At 36.9% G+C, this 24,800-nt stretch overlaps 1 protein-coding gene across 20 annotated transcripts in view; it reads left to right on the forward strand.

Annotated features, from left to right (window-relative positions):
- The window catches only part of CNTLN (centlein), a 393,595-nt gene that overhangs the window by 231,356 nt on the left and 137,439 nt on the right, over positions 1-24,800 (forward strand). For 18 of the 20 annotated variants that reach the window (XR_007061321.1, XR_007061322.1, XR_929282.3 and 15 more), the window contains 2 exons: positions 222-322; positions 21,767-21,858. Coding sequence is in view for 17 of the 20 variants with exons in the window: in XM_017014839.2 (XP_016870328.1) it covers positions 222-322; positions 21,767-21,858 (193 nt within the window). In the remaining 3 variants the exon portion in view is untranslated. The other 2 variants (XM_017014847.3, XM_017014846.2) reach the window with 2 other exon arrangements.

The following is a 24,800-nucleotide window of genomic DNA, read 5'->3' on the forward strand; positions in this document are numbered from 1 at the left end:
GGCTTTCTAAAATGCTGGAATTGTAGGTATGAGCCACCATGCCCAGCCTGTGAATATTATTGATTTATTTTTGCTTTCATTTTACTCTTCTCCATTTTATATACATTAAAATATCTTTACTGACTTTGATATATTATTTAGAAATATATTTAAATGTATATGTTTGATTTTTTTAAATAAAACAATATGGTTTTAAGTAAATGTTTATTGCTTTTTCATAGGATGAATCTTGAAGAAGAATTAGATGAACTTAAAGTACATATATCTATTGATAAGGCAGCAATACAAGAATTGAATAGATGTGTGGCAGAGAGAAGAGAAGGTAAATTTTCAGAAAATAAATACTTAACAGAGGAATTTTAAAATTGTGTAATTCTTGATGTTTTAGTTTCAATTTCTTTTAAGAATCTTACCCTTTTTGTTTCTTTTCCAACACTTTATTCATTGATAACTCACTAACATTTTCATCCTGAGAAAATTAAATAAATAGAACATCTAAAAGTCAGCTTTGTAATTTATTAAAAAATCTAGGGGAGAACGTACAGCAAGATGGCCAAATAGAAGACTTTATGCTGTGGGAACTCCAAATTTAAGAACTACCTACACACACAAAAAAAACACCTACATAAGAATCAGAAATCAGGTGAGCACTCACAGTACCTGGTTTTAACTTCAAATGACTGAAAGAGGCACTGAAGAGGGTAGGAAAGACAGTCTTAAATTACCAGTGCCACCCTTCCCCTATCTCCTGGCAGTGGCCATGTGACATGGAGAGAGAATTGTGCACTTAGGGGAGGGAGAATGCAGTGACTGTTGGACTTTGCATTGAACTCGGTCTTGCCCTGTCATAGCAGAGAGCAAAACCGGGCCAAATGCATCTCATGCCTGCCCACAGAAAGAGCATTTAGACCAGACCTGTCCAGAGGACAATCACCCATCCCAGTGGTTGGAACCTGAGTTCTGGCAAGCCTCATTACCACAGGACTTTGGGGCTCTATATAAACTTAAAAGACTGTCTAGGCCACAATGACTTCAACTCCTAGGCAAGCCCTAGTGCAGAGTTGGGCTCAGACCAGTGGACTTGGGTGGCATGTGACCTACTGAGACACCAGCCAGGGCAGCTCATGGGGTATTTGTGCCACTGCTCTCCCAACCCTTGGCAGCACAGCTCATGGCTCTGAAAGGAACCCCTTCCATCTGCTTGAGGAGGAGAGAAGAAAGATCAAATAGGTCTTTGTCTTGCATCTTGGACAGCAGCTCAGCCACAATAGGATAGGGCGCTAGTTAGATTTATGAGACCCTTATTCTAGGCCCTAGCTCCTGGATGACATTTCTAGACACATCCTGGGCTAGAAGCGAACCTGGTGCCTTGAAGGCAAGGATGCAGTCCCGGCAGGATCTATCACCTACTGACTGAAGAGCCCTTGGGCCCTGAATAACCAGCAGCAATACCCAGATGGTACACTGTGGGTCTTGGCTGAGACTCTGAGATGTGCTGGATTCAGGTGAAACCCAGGGCATCCCCAGCTGTGGTGGCTGTGGTGAGAAACCCCTGCATGAGAAAAGCAGAGGGAAAAGTAAAGGGTAATTTGTCTTGCACCTTAGGTACCAGCTCATCCACAATGAAGTAGAACACCAAGCAGCTTGTGGGGTCATTGATTCCAGGCTTTGGCTCTTAGTTGGCATTTCTAGACCTGCCCTGGGCCAGAGGGAAACCCATTGCACTGAAAGGTGAGTCCCAGGCCTGGCAGCATTTGTGGCAAGCTGACTGAAGAGCCCTTGGGCTTTAAGGAACATTGACAGTGGCCTGGTAGTACTCCCTGTAGGACTGTGGTGGTGGTGACCACAGGCAGAGACTCCTTTGCCTGTGGAAAGGGAAGGGAAGAGTGGGAAGGACTGTGTCTGGTGGTTTGAGTGCCAGCTCAGCTGCAGTGGACTAGAACACCAGGTGGATTTCTAAGGTTTTTTACTCTACTCCCTGGCTCCTAGATGGCATCTCTGGACCCACCCAGGGCTGGAGGGATCCTGCTACCCTGAAGGGAATGACACAAGTCTGACTGGCTTCACAGTCTGCTCTTTGCAGAGCCCTAGGGCCTTGAGCAAACATAGGTGGAAGCCAGATAGTGGTTACAGTGGGCCTTGGGTGAGACTCAGGGATATACTGGTGTCAGTTCTGACCCCCAGCATAGTCCCAGTGGTGGTGGCCACAGGGGTGCATTTGTCACTCCATCCCCAGCTCCAGAAGGCTCAGCAAAGAGAGAGAGACTCTGTTTGTTTGGGAGAAGGAAAGAAAACAAGAGTCTCTGCCTGGTAATCCAGAGAATTCTTCCGGATCTTATCCAAGACTGCCCAGGCAGTAGTTCTAGAAGTCGGCAAGAACCCCAGTCTTACTGGACTTGGGGTGCCCACTAATGCAGATATGGACTAGATCACAACACCCAAGTCCTTTCAAATACCGGAAAGTCTTGGGCTGAATCAATCCTACTGCCTTAGCATCTTTGTACCCATCTTCTCAAGAAGATTGGGTACAAACAATCCCAGACTGCAAAGACAAAAATAAATATCTAACTTTTGTATTCCCAGACACCAGCAAACATCCATAAGGATCAAGACTATCCAAGTGATAGGTTACGCTTTGTGTCCCCACCCCAGACTCATCTTGAATTATAATCCCCATAATCTCCACGTGTCAAAAGAGAGACCAGGTGGAGGTAATTGAATCATGGGGGTGGTTTCTCCCATGCTGCTCTCATGATAGTGAGTGAGTTCTCATGAAATCTGATGGTTTTGTAAGGGGCTTTTTCCCCGTTCGCTTGGCACTTCTCCTTCCTGCTGCCTTGTGAAGAAGGTGCCTTGCTTCCCCTTCACCTTCCACCATGATTATTAGTTTCCAGAGGCCTCCCCAGCCATGCTGAGTTGTGAGTCAATTAAATCTCTTTCCTTTATTACTCAGTCTTGAGCAGTTCCTTATAGAAGTATGAAAACAGGATAATATACCAAGAAAACATGACTTCATCAAACAAACGAAATGAGGCACCTGGGATCAATACTGCAGAAACAGATATGTAGCCTTTCAGACAGAGAATTCCAAATAACTGTTTTGAGGAAACTCAAAGAAATTCAAGATAACATGGAGAAGGATTTCAGAATTCTATCAGAGAAATTTAACAAAGTGATTGAAAAAATAAAAAAGAATCAAGCAGAAATTCTGGAATGAAAAATGCACTGGAGTCCCCTCATAGCAGAATTGATCAAGCAGAAGAAGGAATTAGTGAGCTTGAAGACAGGCTATTTGAAAATACATAGTCAGGGCGGGTGTGGTGGCTCATGCCTGTAATCCCAGCACTTTAGGAGGCTGAGGTGGGAGGATCACCTAATGTCAGGAATTTGAGATGAGCCTGGCCAATATGGTGGAACCCTGTCTCTACTAAAAATACAAACATTAGCCAGGCATGGTGGCACATGCCGGTGATCCCAGCTACTTGGGAGGCTGAGTCAGGGGAATCGCTTGACCCCGGGAGGCGGAGGTTGCTGTGAATCGAGATCACGCCACTGCACTCCAGCCTGGTGACAAAGCGAGACTCCATCTCGAAAAAAAAAAAAAAGAAAATACACAGAGGAGATAAAAGAATAAAAAACAATGAAGCATGCCTACAAGATTAATGAAATAGCCTCAAAAGGGAAAATGTAGGAGTTATTGGCCTTAAACAGGAGTTAGTGAAAAAGACAGGAGTACAAAGTTTATTCAAAGGGAAAATAACAGAGAACTTTTCAAACCTAGCAAAAGATAACAATATTCAACTATGAGAAAGTTGTAGAACACCAAGCAGGTTTAACCCAAAAAAGACAACCTGAAGGCATTTAACAAACTCCCAAGGGTCAAGGATAAAGAAAGGACCCTAAAAGCAGCAAGAGAAAAGAAACAAATAACATACAATGGAGCTTCAATATGCTGGCAGCAGACTTTTCAGTGGAAACTTTACAGGCTAGGAGATAGTGGCATGACATACTTAAAGTGCTGAAGGAAAAAACAACAACAGACTTTTGCCCTGGAATAATATATCCTGCAAAAATATCCTTCAAACATGAAGGAGAAATGCTTTGACAGGCAAACAAAAGCTGGAGATTTCATCAACACCATACCTATCCTACAAGAAGTCATAAATGGAATACTTAAATCAGAAAAAGGATATTAATGAGTAATAAATCATCTGAAGGTACAAAAGTCACTGGCAATAGTAAGTACACAGAATGACATACAATATTGTAATACCGTAACAGTGGTATACAAACTACTCTTAAGTAGAAAGACTTAAAGATGAGCCAATCAAAAAATAACTATAAAAAGTTTTCAAGACATAGTATAATAAGATATAAACAACAAAAAGTTAAAAACAGGCTGGACAAAGTTAAATAATTTTTATCAGTTTTGTTTTTGCTTGTTTATGCAAGCAGTGTTGTTAATCCAGTTAAAATAATGGGTTATAAGATAGTTATATCCCATATATATAATGGGTTGCAACATTCATTGTAACCTCAAATCAAAAACCATACAGTGGCTACGCAAAAAATAAAAAGAAAGGAATAAAATTTTCGTTTTATTTTAGGAGAAAAGGTAAGAGAAAATTACCTTCACTACAAGGAAAACAAGAAAGAATGAAGGAAGGAAAAGAAGACCACAAAATAACCAGGAAACCAACAACAAAATGGTAGGAGTAAGTTCTTACTTATTGGTAATCACATTGAATGTGAATGGACTAAACTCTGTAATCAAAATACACAGAGTAACTGAAAGGATGTAAAAATCAGAGCCACTCTCTGTTGTATATAAGAAACGCTTCATCTATAAAGAAACATATAGACTGAAAATAAACAAATGGAAAAAGATACTCCATGCCAGTACAAACCAAAGAAGAGCAGGAGTAGCTATACTTATATCAGACCAAATAGATTTCAAGCAAAAACTGTAAGAGACAAAGGTCATTATATAATGATAAAGGTGTCAATTTAGTAAGAGGATATCATAGTTGTAAATATATATTCACCCAACACGCTAGTACCCAGATATATAAAGCAAATATTATTAGAGCTAAAGAGAAATGTAGACCCTAATTCAATGATAGCTGCAGGCTTTAGTATCCCACTTTCAGCATTGGACAGATCTTCCAGACAGAAAATCAACAAAGAAACATTGGAATTAATTTGTACTGTAGACCAAATGGAGCTAATATTTACAGAACATTTCATCCAATGGCTGCAGAATACACATTCTTCTCCCCAGCACATCGATCATTCTCGAGGACAGACTGTGTGTTAAGCCATAAAACAACTCTTAAAACATTCAAAAAACTTGAAATAATATCAAGCATCTTACCTGACAACAATGGAATAGCACTAGTAATCAATAACATGAAAAATTTTGGAAGCTCTGCAGACATATGGAAATTAAACAATGTGCTCCTGAATGACCCGTGTGTCAATGAAGAAATTAAGGAGGAAATTTAAAAATTTCTTGAAACAAATGATAATGGAAGCACAACATACTAGAACCTATGGGATACAGCAAAAGCAATACTAAGAGGGAAGTTTATAGCTATAAATGCCTACATCAAAGAAGAAGAAAAATTTCAAATAACTTAACGATGCATCTTGAAGAGCTAGAAAAGCTAGAGCTAATCAAACCCAAAATTAGTAAAAGAAAAGAAGTAGTAAAGATCAGAGCAGAGATAAATAAAATTAAAATGAATAAAACAATATGAAAAAATCATTAAAACAAAAAATTGGTTTATCAAAAAGCTAACCAAAATTTACAAACGTTTAACCAGACTAAGAAAAAGAGAACACAAATAAATATCAGATGTGAAAAAGTAGACATTACAACAGATACTGCAGAAATTTAAAGCATTGTTAGTGGCTACTATCACCAACTATATGCCAAATTCATATCAGCTATATGCCAATAAATTGGAAAATCTAGAAGAAATGGATAAATTCTTATACACATACAACCTACTAAGATTATTGAACCATGAAGAAATCCAGAGCCTCAACGGAACTATAATAAGTAAAGACACTGATGCCATAATGCAGAGGCTCCCAGCAAAGAAACAACCAGGACCTGGTGACTTCACTGCTGAACTCTACCAGACATTTAAAGAAGAACTAACTCCAATCCTACTCAAGCTATTCCAAAAGGTAGAAGAGGAGGGAATACTTTCAAACTCATTCTACAAGGCCAGTATTAGCTTGATACCAAAACCAGACAAAGACACATCAAAAAAAGGAAACTATAGTTCAATATCCCTGATGAACATTGATGCAGAAAAAACCTCTGCAAGATACTAGCAAGCTGAATTCAACAACACATTAAAAAATTAGTCATCATGACCAGGTGGGATTTATCCAAGGGTTGCAAGGATGGTTCAACATTTGGACATTAATCAATGTGATACATATTATCAACAGAATGAAGGACAAAAACCATAGGATCATTTTACTTAGTCCTGAAAAAGCATTCAGTGAAATTCAACATTCTTTCATGAGAAAATCTCTCAAAAAACTGGTTTCATTGGAACAAACATACATCAGGATAATAAAAGGCATATAGGACAGAGCTATTGCTGGTTATCATATTGAATCAGGAAAAACTGAAAGCTTTTCCTTTAAGATTTGGAACGTGACCATGATGCCTACTTTCACCACTGTTATTCAACATAGTACTGGATGTCCTAGTTAGGGCAGTCACACAACAGAAAGAAAGAAAGGGCATCCAAATTAGGAAGAAGTCAAATTATCTTTATTTGCCAATGATAAGATTTTGTATTTGGAAAAACTTAAGAGTCCATAAAAAAACTATTAGAAAGGATAAACAAATTCAGTAAAGTGGAGGATACAAAATCAACATACAAAAATCAGTATCATTTCTATATGCCAACAGCAAACAATCTGAAAAAGAAATCAAGAAAGCTAATTCCATTTACAGCAGCTACACCTAAAAGTCAGTACCTAGGATTTAACCGGAGAAGTGAAGAATCTTCCTACAATAAAAACTATAGAATATTGATGAAAGAAATTGAAGGAGACACACAAAAAATGGAAAGACATCCCCTTTTAATGGATTGTTAAATTGTTAACAATATTGTTAAAATGACCATATTACCTAAAGCAATCTACAGATTTAATGCAAGCCCTATAAAAATACCAATGACATTCTTCACAGAAACAGAAAAAACAATCCTAAAATTTATATAGAATAAAAGAGACCCAGAATAGCCAAAGCTATTGTAAACAAAAAGAACAAAACTAGAGGAATCACATTTCTTAAATTAAATTGTACTATAAAGCTACAGTAACTAAAACAGCATGAAAATTGACACATAGACCAATAGAACCTAACAGACAACCCAGAAATATATTCATACCTCCATATAAACTAATTGTTGACAGCGTTGCCAAGACATACATTGGGAAAAGGACAGTCTCTTCAATAAATACTGCTGGGAAAACAAGATATTCATATGCGTAAGAATGAAACTAGTCCCCTATGTCTTGCCATATACAAAAATCAAACACAATGGATTAAACACTTAAATCTCAGACCTCAAACTATGAAACTACTAAAAGAAAACATTGGGGAAAGTGTCCAAGATGTTGGACTGAGCAAGGATCTTTTGAGTAATATCCTACAAGCACAGGCAACCAAAGCAGAAATGGACACATGGGATTACATGAAGCTAAAAAGCTTCTGGACAGCAAGGGAACAATCAACAAATCAAAGAGACAAGCCACAGAGTGGGAGACAATATTTGCAAACTACCCATCTAACAGGGGATTAATAACCAGAATATATAAGCAGCTAAAAACTACTCTGTAGGAAAAAATTTAATAATCCAATTAAAAAATGGGCCAAAGCTGTGAGTAGACGTTTCTCAAAAGAAGACATACCATTTGCAAATAGATATATGAAAATGCTCAACATTATTGATCATCAGAGAATACAAATCAAAACTAAAATGAAATATCATCTCATCCCAGCCTGAATGGCTCTTATCCACAAGACAGGCAATAACAAATGCTGGGGAAGATGTGGGTAAAAGGGAACTCTCATATATTCTTGGAAGGAATGTAAATTAGTACAACTACTATGGAGAACAGTTTGGAATTGACTCAAACAATTAGAAATAGGCTGGGTGCAGTGGCTTATACCTATAATCCCACACTTTGGGAGGCTGAGGTGGGTGGATCGCTTGAGGTCAGGAGTTTGAGACCAGCCTGGCCAACATGGTGAAACTCCATCTCTCCTAAAAATACAAAATGAGAGGGGTGTGGTGGCACACACACCTGTAATCCCAGTTACTTGGGAGGCTGAGACAAGAGAATCCCTTGAACCAGGAGTTGGAGGTTTCAGTGAGCCGAGATTATGCCACTGCACTCCAGCCTGGGTGACAGAAGTGAGACTCCATCTCAGGAAAAAAAAAAAAAGGAAGTAGAGCTGTGATATGATCTAGCTATCACACTGCTAGTTATATACCCAAAAGAAAGGAAATCAGTATATTGAAGAGATATCTGCATTCCCATGTTTATTGCAGCATTATTCATAATAGCCAAAATTTGGAAGCAACCCAAATGTTCATCAACAGACGAATGGATAAAATGAATGTGGTACATACACACAATGGTGTACTATTCAGCCATAAAAGAATTGAAATCTTGTCATTTGCAACAACATGGATGAAATTGGAGGTCATTGTGTTAAGTGAAATAAGCCAGGTATAGAAAGACAGACTTCACATGTTCTCACTTATTGGTGGGAGCTAAAAATTAAAACAATTGAACTCATGGAGCTAGAGAGTAGAAGGATGGTCACCAGAGCCTGGGAAGGGTAGTTGGAGGAAGTGGGAATAATTAATGGATTACAAAAAAAATAGTTGGAAAGAACAAATAAGACCTGGCGTTTGCTAGCATGACAGGGTGACTATTAAAAAATAATTTAATTGTTGGTTGGTTTGTAATGTAAAAGTTAAGTGCTTGAGGTGATGGATGCCCCATTTACCCTGATATGATTATTATGCATTGCCTGTGTATCACATGTCATCTACCCTGTAGATACATCTACTGTGTACCCACACACAAAAATTCTAGAGATTATTTTATAAGGATAAATGATACTCATTTTTATTATTCATTGATAAAGTTTTCCTAGTTTTGTTTGTTTACAGTTTTGTAGGTACTATAGTGTTATGCTTAATATCAATAATTCGTTAATATTTTGGTTAGGCATTACATTTTTTGGGAAATTATTTAGTTCGTATCTTTTTTCCTGGAATCAAAATCTTAGAGTTAGAAGGAAATTTGGAGATCTTCAGATCTGCAACCTCCCTGACAGCTAGCTTAAATATGACCAGTAACGGGGAATGTCTCACTGCTCAAATTGCAAGAGGATTATCTCTTTATTAAAGCCAAGATAACTATATTTCGTATATAACTTCAGTACCTCATTAGAAAAATTAAAGATTGATATGACAGGATTTTTTGTTGTTTAACCTGCTACATTCTAACCACTGTACTTTTAGGTTTTGACAATTTATACTTAATAATTAGTTTTCATATACCCTTCACTTGGCTTTTGTCCCAGTTACTGTTGTTGCTCCAATGCTCGCATTCAGGTTACTGGTGACTTGTTAAGGCCAATATTTGAACCCCTCCATTTAACACCTTTAATTTTTATCATATTTCAAGCTTATCTCTTTATCAGCTTCTGAATCACATTGTCTCATTTTATGTCCTACTCTTGCTGTTATCTTCCCGTCTCTTTCAGTGGAACAGTTTTTCATTTACTTCTTAATAACTAGGGTTTGCTAAGACTTTATCCTTGGTTTACTTTTCAAAATTAATGACTTTATGTTTTTTTGAAAAATTATACATACTTACATTCGAGCAGTAAGAAAGAAAAAAGAAGAAAGCAAAGAAAAAACTAGTTCACAACATGTTAGAGATAAAAATTTTTAATATTATCATATAACCATCTCTTTTTTTTCTTTTTCTTTTTTTTAAATTTTTTAATTTTTTTTTTTTGAGACGGAGTCTCGCTCTGTCCCTGAGGCTGGAGTGCAGTGGCGCCATCTCGTCTCACTGCAAGCTCCGCCTCCCGGGTTCACGCCGTTCTCCTGCCTCAGCCTCCCAAGTAGCTGGGACTGCAGGCGCCCACCACCTTGCCCGGCTAATTTTTTGTATTTTTAGTAGAGACGGGGTTTCACCATGTTAGCCAGAATGGTCTCGATCTCCTGACCTCGTAATCTGCCCACTTTGGCCTCCCAAAGTGCTGGGATTACAGGCGTGAGCCACCGCACCCGGCCATAACCATCTCTTAATGGCCAGATACGGAGAAGGCTAGATGGGTAGACTAATTATATAAAAAGAGTGTCATATTTTTGAAAAAGAGATTTACATTTATTATATTTATTTGGAGCCAACTAAATGAAGAGAAACAGAAGTAAAGGTAAATGAACTGTAAACTTTAAATAAATGTTTGCTTCAAAAGAATTAATTTCTTTAAGATTAAAAACAATTACAAAAAGAAATTAACACCTTGCTATGCAAGATGGAAAACCCAGAATTTTTACAAAACTTTTTTGTAAAAGTTTTTTGTTTCCTCCTCATCTTGAGTTTTGTTCATTAAATTTCTTTTTAAAAATTTTACCAAAGTCTGTAACTTTATATATTACAAGAATAATTTCCTCAGCTTTAAAGTCTTGTCTCTCTATATAACGAATTCAGTACTCATCACATTTTTAAAAGCCATGGCTTTTCTATTTATGAATTCTTTCTTTTCGTATGTTTCTTGATTAGCCAGATAAAATTCAAAGTATTACTAGGCGCGGTGGCTCACGCCTGTAATCCTAGCACTTTGCAGGCCGACGCAGGTGGATCACCTGAGGTCAGGAGTTTGAGACCAGCCTGGCCAACATGACAAAACTCTCTACTAAAAATACAGAAATTAGCCGGGCGTAGTGGTGCGTGCTTGTAATCCCAGCTACCTGGTAGGCTGAGACAGGATAATCCCTTGAACACAGTGGGCAGAGGTTGCAGTGAGCCAAGATTGCGTCATTGCACTGCAGCCTGGGCGCCACTTCACTCCAGCCTGGGTGAAGGAGCAAGACTCTGTGTCAAAAAAACAAAAAACAAAAAACAAGCATTTTTTTCAAGAAGGAATGAAAGTAGCCATATTTGTAAGAACCTAGATGTTTGAGAATATGATTCAACAGGGATTAAATGGGCTGGGTATAATTTTATTGGGTTACACCCTTTTTTCCTCAGAACTTTCTAGATGTTACTCATTTATAGAATCAGTGGTTGCTGTGAGGATGTGTTACAGAGAGGTGTCTGAATTCCCCAACCTCCCCTGTATCACCCCTGCTGTGGATGTCACTTGCCTTTGCTAAGTGGATGCCTGAAAATTTACTTTTTTCAACTTGATATTCAAAAACTTAAATAGAATATGTCAATATAATTTGTTCTAGATCACATATTCCTGAAATACCTATGCATTTATTGTCAATTAAAATATTACTTTGTTCCAAGGATTTCTCTTTTGCATATATTTTTGCATACTTTTCTATTCCACTTTTTATACTCTAAATCAAGGAAGTTGTCTTTATGTTAGATTATTTTTTGTCCGGCCTTCATATCTATTTTCTTAACAATTCTTTAATCTTTTGTCTTCTGCATCCAGTTTATCTCAAGACTTTCCTTCATCAGTAATTCAATTTTTAGCCATGTTTTATCGTTCTTTTGTTCTTTTTTTGAGACGGAGTCTTCCTCTGTCACCAGGCTGGAATGCAGTGGCACAATCTTGGCTCATTGCAACCTCCGATTCCCTGGTTCAAGCAATTCTCCTGCCTCAGTCTCCCACGTAGCTAGGATTACAGGCATGCACCACCATGCCCAGCTAATTTTGTATTTTTTTAGTAGAGATGGGGTTTCACCATGTTGGCCAGGATGGTCTCGATCTCCTGATCTCGTGATCCACATGCCTTGACCTCCCAAAGTGCTGGGATTACAGGTGGGAGCCACCGCACCCGGCCTTCTTTTGTTCTTTCTTACATTTCTATTTAATCTGTAATAATGTTCTTTGTTATTGTTGTTGTTTTCAATTTATTGTCTCAATTCTTCAAATTCTTATTTTATTTTTGGATGTTTTATTATTTCTTTTCTGAGCTTGTATTTTATTAAATTCAGGTTTTTGGTAAGTTCTTTTCTTCCTTTGTGGCTTTTCTTTTACAATTTGGATTCAAAATCGGTATTTTGTTAAATGTACACTTTGCTCCACCAACTACAGAGTGTTTTCTATTGTAGAAGGGGTGACCCAGGATTTCAAATTGTTGTCTGGCTTCAGCAGAGTGTGTTGGATCTAACCAGGCCTGGTAGTTCTCAGTGTTTTTTGCTGAGAACCATTTCTGCTGCTCTTCATTCCTTTCTGTAGATCCATATTTCCATCTGGTGTTATCTTCTTTCTGCCTGAAGGACTTCTTTAATATTTCTTAGAGTGCACATCTGCTGGTAGTGAAATTCTTTCAGCTGTCATACACCTGAAAAAATCCCTATTTTTCTTCATTTTGAAAGGTATTTTCAGTAAGTATAGAATGCTACATTGACAGATTTTTTTTTTTCTTTAGCAGTTAATTACTCCACTGTCTTCTGGTGTGAATTGTTTCTGATAAGAATTCTGCTGTCATTCTTACTTTGTTCACGTTAGTATAGCGTGCCCCACTTTTTTCCCTCGGCTAGTCAGAGCATAAACTACTACTGCACCTGTATGAGCTTTGCAGTTTGTTTCCTCTAAGTTTTCTCTAATCCTTTTGGATGTTTTTTTTTTCTCTTAAACTTGGGTAGTTTCCTTAAATGCATGTGCTGATTAGTACTTGGCTGAAGACTTAAGGTTCTCAGGTCTGTACATCTTCAGAGCTCTCCCTGTATCTGAGTAGATCTCTCCTCTATGACACTTTGCCCTGCAAACTCTAGCTCACTTGACCTCCCTGGAACCCAGGGTATGTCTCCTTAATTTAGGAAGATTACTGGACTACATTTAGGTTTTCTGTTTCTGTGCTGTAGCTTGGAAGCTCTCTGTAAGCAGTAAGCTGGGGTAATTAAAGAACTCACCTCATTTGTTGCCCTCTCTCAGGGATGACATTGTCTGATGCCCAGTATCTAAAAACCATTTTTCATACATTTTGTCTAGTTTTTAGTTGCTCCATATAGAAGGGAAAATCTGCTCCCTCTAACTTACTTTTCTTCTTATTGAACATGTTTTCTCTAGATTAAATCCCAAAACTTTTTCCATGTTCCAAATATATATTTCCTATTTTCTGACACCTGTTTCCTTCTGGCTGCTTTTACAAGTATCTTAAAAGTTAAGCATGTCATCCAAAAAAACTCATTGCCTTTTCCCTCAAATGAATTCAGTCTCCTCTAGTCTTCCCAAATGAATACCTTAAGCCCCTACCATGCTAAATTTCTCTTTACTGAAAATTGCAATTTATAACGTAATGGGTCTTGAATAGAATCCCACAATACCTCTGTCAAGAGCTTAGCTGAACTGGAGACAGCTGAAATGCCAGGTGTATGAATAGCTGCTCGAAGAGAACAAACCAAAATGAAAGTTACAGCCACCTTTAATTAATTACTGAGATAGTTTAAGCAAGAGGCTAAAGGGGAGAAAGTGCCAGCTCCCCATATTTTATTTTCCCCCATTGGTCAAGTGGATCAACATAGAAATGAGGGTTGTCTCATTGCCAGTGGATCCTCAAACAAAAGTTTCTTGCCATGTGATAGACCTGAGGCATTGGGGGAGGGTATGGGAGGATGGTTGGGAGAGGAAAAGTATAAAGTCAGAATGAGTCAGAACGAGGACAAGTATCTTCAAGTTTACTGCCTCCTCCCAGTCTCCTAAGGAGGTTTCTCGAGAAACACCTAAGCAAGCCTCAGCCAAAGGCCCCCAATAAAAATGCCTCCATATTGAGACACCTGTGGTAGAGATACAGATACGTGTGTAACAGTGTGATTGGCCAGGGAAACTAGTGTCCTTGACCAGGACCTGTGTCCTTGAGTGTAACTCCCTTCAGAGACTGCAGTCCATTGACGTACAACAAGTCTGGTTGGGGAGGGCAGCTTTCCCCCATGAGGTGTGCCAGGTAAAACCTTTGTAATTACCTATGACCAAGCCTGACAAATCACATGTAAGGTTTGGCCAGGAGCTAGATTCCTCAGTCTTTACTGAGTCACAAGTGCATGAATATGTTCACAAACCATTTCTTACCATGTTCGTCATTGAAAGTTGAGGGCTTGTGTATCAGACAATGCAAGAAACAAGCAGATGGGGAAACTCATTCATAAACAATAGCAAGCATTTATTTATTGCATATAGGTCTGTGTGTTGGCTGAAACAGCTCTTACTGCTGCAGGTTTTCTGGTCCAGCTCTGTTTCAGGCTGCAAGTCAAGTCCACTTCTGCTCCATGTGTCTGATTCTTGAACACAATGCAACAAGTGTAAACATGAAGAGCTTCTTTTGCCTATGTTTGGAACTGGCACACTGTCACCTCCACCCGTGATTTCTTTGGCTAAAGCAAGTCTTCTTATTAAATACAGCCAACAACAATTCGTACTGTCAGTGTTAGTTTCTATGGAGGATTGGGGTAGTATTTTTAGGCCTTTACCCAGAGTCTACTAGGCCTTGCATTATTCCTTTCAGAAATTATTAGCAACAGGCATGACAGCCAAATCCCGAGCCATGTTTTAATGTCAGCATCTGAGATTTGGCCTTTATGCTGCCAGTGATTTAGTGTCCACTCCTTTGATATGGTAACAAACAATTTCATTTTCCAACTCTAGAAGTACTGGAACTTATACACTTCCCAAATTTCAATGGCCAGTGCCTTTCTGAGCTCTGATCTTTCTTAGAGTAGCTAGTCAAGTGCAGCCAGCAATAACCAAACTCATACTATCAGCATTCTGCACTGACACCTCCTCACTCAGTATAAAATTTATTAAGTTATTAGGTACATTTTTTGCCTTCCAGGTTATGCCAGGTGGCAGTTTTCCAAATGTTTTGTAACTACATAACATGGGTTACCATTTTCTCAGCATCCTGTAACATATATTTTGCCACCCACCACCCAGTCCCAAAATCAGTGCCACATAATTTAGTCTTTTATCATAGCAGCACCCCACTTAAAGTTACCAATTTCTGTATCCCATCAGCTTTTGCTGCAGAATAAACAACCACAAAGTCTCACTAGCATGCAGTAATAAACATTTATTTCTTGCTCATGAGTCTATCAGCTGGGATAACTGTGCTGCAGGCTGCAGGTCTGTTGGTTGGCTGGAGTGCTTCACCTTGAGGCAATATTGGATTTAGGTCTGCTCCATATTTCTTAATCCCAGTCCCAGGCTGAAGGGGCAGTGACTACCTGAACATGTTCTTTTCAAGGTGGATGTTGGAAATTTCCAAGGGGTGATCAGAAGCATACAATTTCTTGAGTTCTAGGCTCATTTATACCCATGTTTCCCTAGTCCAAGCAAATCACATGGCCAAACTCAACATTAATGGAGCAGGGATCTGTACTGCATCCATGAAGGTATCCATGAAAGGAGTAAGCATTTGCTGAGTAATAATCTACCATAGTATGATATAAAATCTTAAGCCAGTGAACAAAAGTATGCTGGAGCTGTTAGTATATGTTGCGAGCATATGGCTTTCTAGATAGTCTGACCCAATCCAGAAATAAAGCATCTAGAATGGAGTAAATGGATTGCAAATTTCAGATTGTCCTTATTAAATATTAATTTACAAAAGCATAGACTTTCATAATAGCTGGGCAGCATACAATTTAAGTTCCAGATTTCTGGCAAGTAACTCAAGTTTACTTACTATTAAGAATAGATTGTGTTGGATACATACCAAAAAGAACATCACCAAAACAATCAAGCCTTCGGAAATGGTCATCCTACTTTAACTTAGAGCCAAATCAAGGGAACATCTTGGGAACAAAAGGGAAAACCTTTTAGGCATATTCAGGTTTTCTCCAATAAAGGCAAAAACTTTTCAACATCAATAAAAATGTTAAAATATTTACTTCTTGGAATGATTAATATTAACTAATTCTTTGTGACCATAATTTAATGCACAGTCATTAATCTGTTGAGCATATACCTAGTACCTAAACATTTAAGGAGAATAACAAAAATTGTTCTAAAACCCATGCAGTATATTTTATAAATAAAGGAAGGTCAGACTGCAGTTTCGTTTTATACTACTTACAATTGCTATCCAATCTAGCATAAGGGCATTCCTTCCAGCCCTATTCTTGGTGTGTTAATATTTCTGATCTTATTCTCTTATTTAGTGACTTCTGCTAATAGCAAAATAAAGCCCAAATTCATTTATCCCACTGAAAATTAGCCCCTGCCTACCTCATTAGCCTTATCTTTCATATGTTTAGCATTATTTTTTCCTCCCTGGAACTGAAAAATCAGCAAAATAAAACCCCAAAAGTGCTTTAGCGTTTAACCTCTGGACCAGTGTACACAGTACTATATTCCTTTCTTGCAGGTTCCATGTAGAAAAGACCTCCTCATCTTTAACAATAGAACTGAGGTGTGACCTCCTATCTAAAGCCTTTTTCTGTTCTCTTTGTTTGTACCCTCAACATATATAAATATATAAAATATTATATAAAACATATGCATTGTACGTATATGTATATACACACACAAATATATCTATATAAATGATTTATACACAGATTTTGGTTGCTTCTGTTATGCTTAAAGTCATGCTTCTTTGTAGTTGTTACCAACATGGCGCTGTGGCTCACACTGTAATCCCAAGATTTTGAGAGGCTGAGGCAGGTGAATCGTTTGAATCCAGGAATTTGAGACCAGCCTGGGCAACCCTGTCTCTACCAAAAAAAAAAAGTTGGGTGTGGTGGCACACACTTGTACTACCAGCTACTTGGGTCGCTGAGGCTGGAGGATCACTTGAGCTCTGGAGGCGGAGGTTACAGTGAGCTGAGATCACGCCACTGCATTCCAGCCTGGGTGATACAGCAGGACCCTGTCTTAAAAAAAAATGGGAATTTTAAAATTAAAAAAATTATTTTTAAAACAAGCCAAAGGAGTATTAGGAATATAGAGAAATATTAAAGTAAATTGAAACAAAAGTTAATTGCAAGAAGTAATTCGTAACATGAATTTTTTTTTTTTGAGATGGAGCCTTGTTCTGTCACCCAGGCTGGAGTGCAGTGGCGTGATCTCGGCCCACTGCAAGCTCTGCCTCCTGGGTTCACGCCATTCTCCTGTCTCAGCCTCCCGAGTAGCTGGGACTACAGGCGCCTGCCACCATGCCCGACTAATTTTTTTGTATTTTTAGTAGAGATGGGGTTTCACCGTGTTAGCCAGGATGGTCTCGATCTCCTGACCTCGTGATCTGCCTGTCTCGGCCTCCCAAAGTACTGAGATTACAGGCGTGAGCCACCTTGCCCGGCCCGTAACATGAAATTTATATGAAATCAGAAACACAGTTACAATGTTAAACTTCACAAAGCTAATTCATTTAAATATAAAGATCGAAATTAAAATATAATGAAGCACTTGGAAGTAGAAAATAAACAGTCTAAAATATTTTAAAAGTGTGGGCTTAAGGAATAGCATAAAATAAAAAGAGGGTGTTACACATGGCTTTCAAGCTAGCTAGAGGAATTAAAGATAGCATGTTCAAATTCCCCTGATTCATCCAGCGAGCTAATAGGATCGAGTTCATCAAGTCCCCAGCTTAAAGACATTTTATTTTTAAGGCAAGGAAGCCTATTTATTGGGTGTAATTTACAATAAATAAAATGAAAAAAAAAAAACTACTTATCCTTCTGTTTTCCTACCTCTCGTCCTAGAAAAAGATACTTACATCGTCCTGGTAACTTCCTTTTTAGAATATTTGTGGCTGGTAACAAAAATGGGCTAATTGTCTTTGAATTTTCACTGATTGAATAGATTCTTCCCAGGCCTCCTGCCCAGGTAAACTCAAAGGGGATGGTCTGGGTCTCCAGAAAGAGGTGCCAAGTGTAACAGTCATATCAAGTGATTGAAATTCTCTCCTACTCATCAGAAACAGGATTTATTTCTTGCCATTTCATTCATCAGAAATGGGACTTCAGTTTTCATTGGCTTATGGTTACTTCTCGGAGGAGATGGGTTCTAATTATAGTTGGCTGATCTGACTTTATTTTGCCTAAGACAACAATTTTAAATTAACACAAAAACCAAAAACTTTTTCATGGCAGTTCTTGCTGATTATTGCCTATTTATCCCCAATTCACTTATCTGAAACAGTGTTCAGAGTTATTTTTACTCACAATACTTCTGACACCAATTTTATAGGTTTTTTTCTTCCACCCAACAACTAACTCATTGCTTCTCTAAACTCCAATTGGGCAATTCAGTTCAATTCTAGCTACTTAGAATTAGTGCAGACCCTACAGATTAAGGACTGTGTCCCACAGGACTGCCTCCATTTTAGATCCCAGTCACAAGTCCCAGGTTTCCACCTGTATTTCTGACCAACTGAGTTTAAATTGGGGGTTCCCAGGAGCCCTTCCTCAGATTAGTTAATTTGCTAGAATGGCTCAAAAAAGTTTTCCATTTACTATTGCTTGTTTATTATAAAGGATACAACTCAGGAACAGCCAAATAGAAGAGTTGCATAGTTCATGGTATGGAGGAAGGAAAAGGAAGCTTTTGTGTCCTTTCTGAGCATGCCACCTTCAGCACCTCAATGTGTTCACCAACTTGGAATTTCTCCAAACTCCACAGAGTTTGTTATGGAGCTTCCATTAAGTAGCCATCATTGATTCAATCATTGGCCATTGGTGACTGAATTCAGTCTCCATTTCCTCTCCCCTCTGCAGAGGCCTGGTGGTGGGGCTGGACGTTAAAACCATCTAATCACATGGTTGCCTCCTCTTGCAGCCAGTCCTCATCTTGAACCTATCTAGGGGCTCACCAGGAATCATCTTATTAAGCATAAACTCTGGTATGGTTGAAAGGAGCTTGTTATGCTTTGCTTGTAATAACAAAAGATGGTCCTATTACTCAAGAAATTCCAAAGGTTTTAGAAACTATGTTTCAGGAACTGGGGACAAAATCCAAATACAGTGGACCCTCTGTATCCACGGGTTCCACATCCCTGGATTCAACCAACTGCAGATCAAAAATATTTGAAAAAAAATTGTATCTGTATTGAACATGTATAGACTTTTTATCTTGTTATTCCCTAAACAATGTAGTATAACAATATTTACATAGCATTTACATTGTATTAGTTATTATAAGTAATATAGAGATTATTTAAACTATACAGGAGGATGTGCATAGGTTATTTGCAAATGCTACATCAGGGACTTGAGCATGGTTGGATTTAGGTATCCCAGGAAGGTCCCTGGAACAGGAACGACTGTATGTGTTTCTTATTGTATCACAAGTACCTTCTGAAGTAAAACCTACCCACTATGATTCTCATTTTCTTTTCCTAAAAGTGAAATAAAAATAGCAATATTCTTTAGGAAATTGCCCATACAATAAGTTGATAACTGTTTTCCTTTCTTAATCCCTCAAATTGATATAATCACAAACTGACCTTTAAGAAACTTTTTGTATGAAGCTTCATATTAAGATCAGGGAAAAAACAATGATAATAGATTTTTCAAATCATTTGTTAAATTAATTAAAAAAAAGAATCTAAAAGAATACAAAGTAAAAGATTGCAGAAAACTTTATATTAATTATTTAAGCCAAGAGGATTAAAAGAAAAAATATAGAAAATAGAATATACTAAGCTCTTAAATAACTATGAATAAGCAAAATTAAAGGTTAATGAGAAAAAGAAAAAATGGAGAGAAGAAACTCCTGAGAAAGAATATAAATTAGAATGAATGTTTATACTAGTAAAAGTAAAGCATTTAAAACTAAAATATCAAAAATAAATCTCCAGTAAAGTGAAGCATATGCTCACATCTACCATAGGAAAGAAATAGGAGTGTGTATTTCTAACTAGGTCTTGTTGGTTTATTTCCCAAATCCTGGGATCCTTGAAGAGAAAGAGAATCAAGGGCCAGAAAATTGGATCCTTGTTTCTTTCCATGGCATGAGCTTATCTTCTTGAGCGTTCTGTATAAACCGGTGAAGGGGAGAAACAAACGTCAGCAGATAAGTACAGGTGAACATGGTTAGCCAATCTACCAGTGGACCTCACACACATCCAGGAGCAAACAAGCAGCACACAAATTCATTTTTAAATCAGTCTTCACCATTTACTTTATTGGAAGTATTTAGCTATTGTTGGCATCCCATGCTCTTTGAATATAGAACTATTATTTTTAAGATGAAATATTTCACTCAGAAGTATAACAGATATTTAAATGACTAGAAAGGATGAATTGTATTTGCATATTATTTCTATACTGCTGAAAGATTGCTGTAAATGAATTCAGCACCATGGTGTTAGGGGACTAGAAGAAGAAACTTGGGAACTGATAGATTATTATCAAGGTAAAGGTACTTATTCCCCAGGTGGCAAATTCTACCTATCCTAGCTTTTATTATCCTTCGGATACTGTTCTAATTATTTCATAAGTACAGAAGTTTTAATTGGGTATGTCATTTTTCAAAGACAAAAGAAATGCCTAATTCACTCTAACAAACTTGTTAGTCACTGTTTATACCAGGAGGATTTCTACTCTACAGAGAATAATATTGTTTTCTTTTTCCTTTGTTGAGAAATCAAAGTTTTACACTGACCTACAGCAGCCAAGCATACTTTAAAGCAAAATAATCTCAGGCTAACACAGATATATATCCTTTTAGTTTTATATATTCTTTTTTGTCCCCTTTTTATTCCTTAAGAAATGTTATATTCCAGAATTAATTCACTAAGAAAATGTTAGTAAAATTTGTCATAGTAATTTATCTGATAAGAAAAAAGTTATTTATAGGATTTGATATATTTTGATTTTAGTATTAACTGAAGTTTTATGACTTTGTTTTTTCTTTAAGGTTGTTAAGTTACTTGTAGGTTTTGGCTTGGTTGAAAAGGTTTTGGCAGTCAAATGTATAGCTAGTGTAGGAATGATTTGTAGCTATAACCTCACCCATATACCTAGCTTTCTATTTGTTATGAAGTCACAGTATTTCTAGAAGAGTGATTTGTATGGTTTACCTCACCCAGTGCATGATCCTTCACTTGAAAAAAAGGTTGTGGTAGGGGTTGTTACAATTTCAATCCACCCTAATTCTGTTACTGTTTGCTTTGTTCAGCAATCACTGTGATCCTCCTGGCAGGGAACAAGATCCAGAGAACAAAACTAGTAGTGACTGTGTAGATAAAAAGGTAATGAATTCTGCTTTTAAGGCAAAGGGGGAATAGTCTACAAAAGAATGAAAATAGGAATAAAAGTGTAGCATTGTTAACCTGAAGATCTATTGTACTTTTGAAAAATCTTATACTGAAAAAAAAAAAAAAAGGTGGCACTACAAAGATACATAATTATGTTGCTAAAAATCTTGAAAAGGGTCATTGTTTAGTTACTGGCCAAATACTTGACAAGAAAATAGCCTAGATTATTCACAGTTGAAAAACCATAGAACCCTTTTTCTTAAAATGACAGGACAGTATTTCAGCAGTACACGTGGTATCATAATATATTATTTATTCTCTACCAGAACAGCTCTTTAGATCTGGTGAAGATGATGAGGTCAAGAGGAGTACTCCAGAGAAGAATGGAAAAGAAATGTTGGAGCAGACATTACAGAAGGTAGTCTAATCTTTAAGATATTGAGCTGAGCAAGTTAAATCTGAATTTTAACATAAAGGATTATATTTTAAAACGAGGGCTTGTAAATGTAAACCTTGTGTGAATCCTTAATTTAAATTCATAATTCAAAATCATTGGCTTGCCAAAATGGGGTAAAAAAAATCAATGTTAGTGAAATAAATGTGTAAACACTTGTGCTTCCATTGATGTAGATTAACATTATTTTCAAAAGGTGAAATGGAGAGAATGAGAAAAATAGAAATTACAGAAATGTAGACTATATGTGCTTGTTAGTTATAACTTAGTTTAAAGTATATTTTAATAAGACTGCTGTACTTCCACAAATATAGAGATTTATAATATTTGATCTAAAATACTGAGCATAGTTATAGTTTTGCCACAGTAAAATGGTAATATGTTTATAGTTTTAATGTTAAACATGAAAATATACGTGACTCTTCTCATTTTAGATAAAAATTTATACCAGTATGATTTAGTACAGCATTTTATGTTTTAATAAGATCATCCATGTAAACCTTAGTCATATTATAACATGTCTATCATTAATAGTAAAATACTGTTTTAAAATATTAATATTTACCTTTATAATTTTATACTTAATTTGCATTTTTATAAATAAATACATTGTTATCAAGTTCAATTAAGTGGATCTAATTATTAACACTTTGTTATAAAGAAAATAATCTTTAAATAGTTTGTTCTTGTGATTGTCATTTGGCTACATTAGATTGATTTTAGTTTTTTACAGAACCTTAATACTTAGATAAAGCTGAAAATGTACAAATATATAAATAAAAATATTAACATAGTAACTTATATATTGTTGCATCTCTGAATTGACTTGTAGGAAATCTAGTGATTTACAGCAGATAATGTGATTGTTCATACTTCTAACACTTGTCAGGTCACAAAGGCTGTCATCTCATTATTACTGAATGACACATATCAAGTTAACATAGTAACACAGAGAACTAGAAATGCTTACATTCATTTATCTTTAGGTAAAATGATTAATTGAATTAATCTATGCACTACCAGCTAGGATGTCATACAGTTCACACTAGCTTATCACCGTTTTTTCAGAACAATATTTTTATTTGCCAGGTTTTGTATAATTTTTGTATCTATGGATATGTAATACTATGCTACTATTTCTTGCCTTAGGGTAGAAACCCTGAAGAAAGCCATTATTTCATTCCATCTGCCATAAATGAATGCTACAATAGTAGATCCAGACATCCATTTTAAGACCTGAACAACCAATATAAATTATTTTCATTGTACTGTATGTCAAGTTGGTATACTATTTTTTATATTTACCTAATGTAGTTTTATCAAGCACAAGTTAATTCCTCATGTTTGAGTTTCATTATTTTAAAAGGTTATATATGAAACTCACTCAAAATAAATTTAAAAAATAGTAATAAGATGAAAACAATATTTGTATATAGTAGAAATGAAACATATATGCAGATTATTTTGAAAATAATATATTAACATTTCACATTGTTATTGGCAGAATTGTGTCCTGTCCCCCACATTTATATATATTAAGAGTCCTAAGCTGTATTATCTCAGAACGTGGCTGTATTTGGAGATAGGGTCCTTAAAGAGGTAATTAAGTTAAAGTAAGGCTATTAGGGTGAGCCCTAATTCAACATGACTGGTGTCTTTATTTAAAAAAAGGAAATTAGAATACAGACAAATACAGAGGGAAGTCCATGTGAAGACACAGGGAAAAGATAGCCATTTACAAGCCAAGGAGAAAGGCCTCAGAAGAAACCAACCCTGCTGACACCTTGATCTTGGACTTCTAGACTCCAGGAATGTGAGAAAATAAATTTCTGTTGTTTAAGTCACCTACTCTGTTATACTTTATTATGGCAAACCTAGCAAACTAATACACACATTTCATAGCTTCATAATATCAGGCATTGTATTTCAGTTTTGAAAAGAGCCTCTTTTTTTTTTTTTTTTTTTTTGGAGACAGAGTCTTGCTCTGTCACCCAGGCTGGAGTACAGTGGGCAGTGTTGGCTCACTGCAACCTCCGCCTCCCAGGTTCAAGCGATTCTCGTGCCTCAGTCTCCCAAGTAACTGGGACTACAGGTGTGCGCCACTATGCCTGGCTAATTTTTGTGTTTTTCGTAGAGATGAGGTTTCATTTCACCATGTTGGCCAGGCTGGTCTCGAACCCCTGGGTTCAACTAATCTGCCTGTCTCAGCCTCCCAAAGTGCTGGGATTACAGGCATGAGCCACTGCACCCGGCCTGAAAAGAGCCATCTATTTGGTATATTATTTTAAATGTTCAGAACTATAAGAAAATATGGGCTTGAGCTGAATTATAACCCACAGATTGAATACTTTTAACAGTTCCCCAGACTTTCATTCTCAAATATGTATTAAAATTTACTTTGCTGTTTTTGAAGGATTAAAATCAGTTTAACAATTTTTGAGAGTATACCTTGAATAACACTTTAATAAGTGCTATGGATTTTCCCTTTTCAAAATGTTTAGAAGTAGTGTCTCTGTTTTGTTATTTGTCCTCCATTTTAAATTTAAATAATTTTGACCAGTTCTCATGATTAAACATACATTCATATTAGGAAGTTAACAGACCTTAAAACCACAGACATCTTCAGTTGGTATGTATATAGGGGTGGAAAGTTGTGGCATCTTTCCTCACCTATCATAAGGGCCACAGTTGACACTCCTATAATAAAAGGCAGGTTAACACGAGAAATACATAACATTTATTTAATCAAAGTTTTATGTGCCACAGGACGCTTCAAAAACAAAGACCCAGAGAAAACTGTCTATTTATGTGCTTAGGTTTGATAAAGAAAGGATAGCCATGTAGAAATGTATCTGTACAAAAGGATATGTCTATGGTAATAGGCTAAGGAGGGGCAAACCAAGCAA

This window comes from Homo sapiens, chromosome 9 (assembly GCF_000001405.40).
Source record: "Homo sapiens chromosome 9, GRCh38.p14 Primary Assembly".
In the NCBI taxonomy this organism is placed as follows: Eukaryota; Metazoa; Chordata; class Mammalia; order Primates; family Hominidae; genus Homo; species Homo sapiens.